The 4,730-nt window shown below is 46.3% G+C and overlaps 1 annotated feature.

Annotated features, from left to right (window-relative positions):
• Positions 417–916: an enhancer, noted in NCBI's record as "H3K4me1 hESC enhancer chrY:1935791-1936290 (GRCh37/hg19 assembly coordinates)". NCBI's record gives its function as "activates a minimal SCP1, AML or CMV promoter by ChIP-STARR-seq in primed H9 embryonic stem cells {active_cell/tissue: H9 hESC(primed)}" and the evidence as "EXISTENCE:reporter gene assay evidence [ECO:0000049][PMID:30033119]".

Raw genomic sequence — 4,730 nt, 5'->3', positions numbered from 1 at the left:
TCAAGTGATTCTCCTGCTTCAGCCTCCTGAGTAGCTGGGATTACAGGCACATGCTACCACACCTGGCTAACTTTTGTATTTTTAGTAGAGATGGGGTTTCACCATGTTGTCCAGGATGGTCTCGAACTCCTGATCTTGTGATCTGCCCACCTCGGCCTCCCAAAGTGCTGGGATTACAGGCATGAGCCACCACGCCCAGCCCCATATTTTCATATTGTTGTGGTAAACTGAGGAACGGAGAGACCAATACAGAGTATAGCAGGATTTGTTTATTTTAGGTACGCACCTGCTCACAGGACTCACATCCAAAAGCTGAGCCCTGAACAAAGACAGAGCGGGGTTTTCATAAGCGGCTTTACAGAAGCAAAATAAAAGCAGTTACTCCTACAGTGGCAGGTCACGTCATCTATAGCATCACATAAGTTGTGACTGCGTAGCTGGTGGCCTTGTAACTGCATTGAAAGAAAAACAAGAACTGGCTAAATACAGACATTCATAAAGCATGATCATGCTAATTATGCTTAAGAAGGCTGGGAAAAGAGTAACAGTGAAAGCGTCTGTCTTTCTCTTTTTTCCTTCAACCTTGCTCTGGGAGGGAGGTGGGGTGTCTGGAGCCCATTCCTTTGGCCTTGGCTATTCGGACAGCATTGTCTTCTAACTGTCCTTGAAGCGAGCTGCTAGGAGAGGAAAACTTCTTTTCTTTCTAACCCTCACCTTGCCACATTCTGGGCCTTAGCGTTTACTTTTCTTGGAGTGAATAAATGCAGTACTACTACTACTTATTATTATTATTATTATTTTGAGGCAGAGTCTCGCTCTGTCGCCCAGGCTGGAGTACAGTGGCGCGATCTTGGCTCACTGCAAGCTCCACCTCCCGGGTTCACGCCATTCTCCTGCCTCAGCCTCCCCAGCAGCTGGGACTACGGGCGCCCGCCACCACGCCTGGCTAATTTTTTGTGTTTTTAGTAGAGATGGGGTTTCACCGTGTTAGCCAGGATGGTCTCGATGTCCTGACCTCGTGATCCGCCCGCTTCGGCCTCCCAAAGTGCTGGGACTACAGGCGTGAGCCACCGCGTCCAGTCCTTATTATGATTATTTTAAATTTCTGCCTCAGTATGTTTCTATTCCCGTATGTTTGCCTTTGCTACAAGGGCAAAATACGGAAAATATGTACTAAGCCTCCGTGGCTGTTTTGCAAATAGAAAACCCACAGTTGCAATGGAAAAACCCAGCGGGCTGCCGAGGTAAATAGCATCTTGGATGCTCCAGCTTGATACTAATAAAAGTAAAAATGGCAGGATTGAAAAAAAAAAAAAAAGACCAGGGTTTTCCTTTCTTGCTTGCAAACAAGGGAACCCAATAACATGTTTGGTGAAAGGGCCACATAGATTACAGCATTTGTACAAGAAAAATATTAATTCTAGCTGCTTTGCTGGGAAGATGCATTCTTTTTTTTTTTTTTTTTTTTGAGATGGAGTTTCACTCTGTTGCCCAGGCTGGAGTACAGTGGCGTGATCTCGGCTCGCTGCAACCTCCGCCTCCCGGGTTCACGCCATTCTCCTGTCTCAGCCTCCCGAGTAGCTGGGATTACAGGTGTACACCACCATGCCTGGCTAATTTTTGTATTTTTAAGTAGAGATGGAGCTTCACCATATTGGCCAGGCTGGTCTCGAACTCCTGACCTCGTGATCTGCTGGCCTCGGCCTCCCAAAGTGCTGAGATTACAGGGGTGAGCCACTGCACCCAGCCTATGCATTCATTTTTAAAAAATGAATGTATTTCCAGAAAATTTCCACAGAAATTGCAAAGTAACTGGGCCACGACGTCTTAATTTTTCCCTGCAATTGAGATGTCTGAACACATATGATTCCAGTAATTACAAAGTATATTTTAATATCCAGATGACAGGTAGCTTGAATTTTCCTCCTTGCTTGGAGGATTGTCCAAGCAATGGAGAAACCACATCGTTTCATCAAGGACTTCACCGCTGAGTCCACGAGGGGATGGCAGAGCTTGCGCTTGCAAAAAATATGGGGCAGGGTGGGTTGAGAGGCCAGTTTGGCCTTCACGTTCTCTCCTGTACCACACCATGCACAGTTTAGCCAGGACTCAAAGGAGATGGCCGCTGGAGTCTCAGCCGCTGACTCTCGTTCCCTAGCTGACTTTACTGGGAAGAGGGAAGAGGTACACCTTGTTTATCTCCAGGAGGTGGAATAGGATTAAATGTGGTTCTGCAGAAATGCAGGTGACAGTTCAGTCCAAATGGGGATTGTGATGTGGATATTTGTCCTTCACTGCCTCCTATGTAACAAGAGACCTGGAGGTCTCGGCCGGGCGCAGCGGCTCACGCCTGTTATCCCAGCCCTTTGAGAGGCCAAGGCGGGTGGAATACGAGGTCAGGGGTTTGAGACCAGCCTGGCCAGCATGGTGAAACCCCGTCTCTACTAAAAATACAAAAATTAACCGGCTGTGGTGGTGAGTGCCTGTAATCCCAGCTACTGGGGAGGCTGAGGCAGGAGAATCTCTTGAACCCAGCAGGCGGAGGTTGCAGTGAGCCGAGATGGCGCCACTGCACTCCAGCCTGGGCAACAGAGCAAAACTTTGTCTCAGAAAAGAAAAGAGAGAGAGAGAGAGACCTGGAGGTCTGACACCTAAAATCACTGCTGATGTGGCTGGTATAGGACACACACGTAAACAATCCATAAATACGCAGCAAACAGCCTGCTGATGTGGCTGGTACAGGACACACACGTAAGCAATCCATAAATACGCAGCAAACAGCCTAGTTATTTGACATGGTGCAAACACAAAACAAAATATGATTCTTAAATATTTTCTTTAGTTGAAGAATATGAGCCTGGCTGAGAGACGCTCATTAACCAGGTTAGATAATAGCAAAATTACAAAGAATCTCTGTGCAGAATTTGAGTGCTGTTTCCCCTGAATGCCTGTCTGTGGGGTAAGTGTTAGAATCATCAAAGGAATTGGTTAAAAGTACTATGAGGCCAGGCATGGTGGCTCATGCCTGTAATCTCTGCACGTTGGGAGGCCAAGGTGGGAGGATAGTTAGAGCCTAGGAGTTCAAGACCAGCCTGGGCTATATAAGAACAAGCCCCTCTCTGCAAATAAATAAATAAATAAATAAATAAGCTGGTGTTTGGGTGCACACCTGTAGTCCCAGCTACTCAGGACGCTTTGAAGGGAGGACTGCCTGAGCCCAGGAATTCAAGAACAGCCTGGGTAACATAGTGAGACCCCTGTCACTACAAAAATAAAAAAAAAATCAGCTAGGTGTGGTGGTGCACGCCTGTAGTTTCAGCTACTCAGGAGGCTGAGGTGGAGGGGGGATCACTTGAGCCCAGGAGTTTGATGCTGCAGTGAGCCATGATCACACCACTGCACTCCAGCCTGGGTGACAGAGCAAGAGCTTGTTTCTAAACAATTAACAATTAATAAATCATTCTACTATAAAGACACAGGCACATGTATGTTTCTTGAGGCACTATGCATGGTAGCAAAGACTTGGAACCAACCCAAATGTCCATCAATGATAGACTGGATGAAGAAAATGTGGCACATAGACACCAAGGAATACTATACAGCCATAAAAAAGGAGGAGTTCATGTTCTTTGCAGGCACACGGATGAAGCTGGAAACCATCATTCTCAGCAAACTCACACAGGAACAGAAAACCAAACATCGCATGTTCTCACTCATAAGTGGGAGTTGAACAATGAGAACACATGGACACAGAGAGGGGAACATCACACACCTGGGCCTGTTGGGGGCTGGGGGACAAGGACAGGGAGAGCATTAGGACAAATACGTAATGCCTGCGGGGCTTAAAGCCTAGATGATGGGTTGATGGGTGCAGCAAACCACCATGGCACATGTATACCTGTGTAACACACCTGCACATTCTGCACAGGTACCCCAGAACTTAAAGTAAACGAACAAACAACAAAAAAAAACATACGATAGACCTGGTGTCTAACCGAGTTATAGTCGTCGGAGATAGAAACCAGGAATATGCATTTTTATGGTACATCTGGAGTGAATTTGATGTACAGTCAGGCTGAGGAAACACTTCATGAAAGACGTCAGAAGACACAGATGTAAAACTCAACTGCTTTATTCATCCACTTATGAGTCCTGGAGTTTCAGACGTTTGCTAAAACAGGATGTTCATGGGGCCTGCCTAGTGCCCGGCGTCCGGAGAGAATTCAGTGACAAAACAAATCTGAAAGTCCCTAAGAACTTGCGTTCCAAGACACAAACACACGACCTGCTCTGTGGATGTAATGACTTAGGAGAAAAATGAAGTGTCAACATTTTGCACTAGCAATGTCCAAATAGCCAATCTAATATCAGATACATCGTCTCTGGGAGAGAAATGGAGTGAGTTCCCCAGAGGACAAAGAGAAATGGGAGTTTCTCCTACTCCCCTCCACCCAGGAGGTTTGACAATGCTGATAAGAGTTCCCATATCATCCACGGGCAGAGTCGTTCTGAAACCCAGAGGCGTATCTCATGGGAGCCAAGAGAAAAGGACGACACGTAAAATGGGAAGGATAAAAGGGAATAGACCCCCAATTGTGTGAAATGAGGAAGTGCCCTGTCTGGGAAAACACCAGGTAATTATGTCCTATCCCTCAGCAGATTTCTCCTTCTTTCCTTTTTTTCTTTCTTTCCTTTCTTTTTCTTTCTTTCTTTTCTTTCTTTCTTTCTTT

This window comes from Homo sapiens, chromosome Y (assembly GCF_000001405.40).
Source record: "Homo sapiens chromosome Y, GRCh38.p14 Primary Assembly".
Taxonomy (NCBI): domain Eukaryota; kingdom Metazoa; phylum Chordata; class Mammalia; order Primates; family Hominidae; genus Homo; species Homo sapiens.
This window is presented reverse-complemented; position numbering and strand designations above follow the sequence as displayed.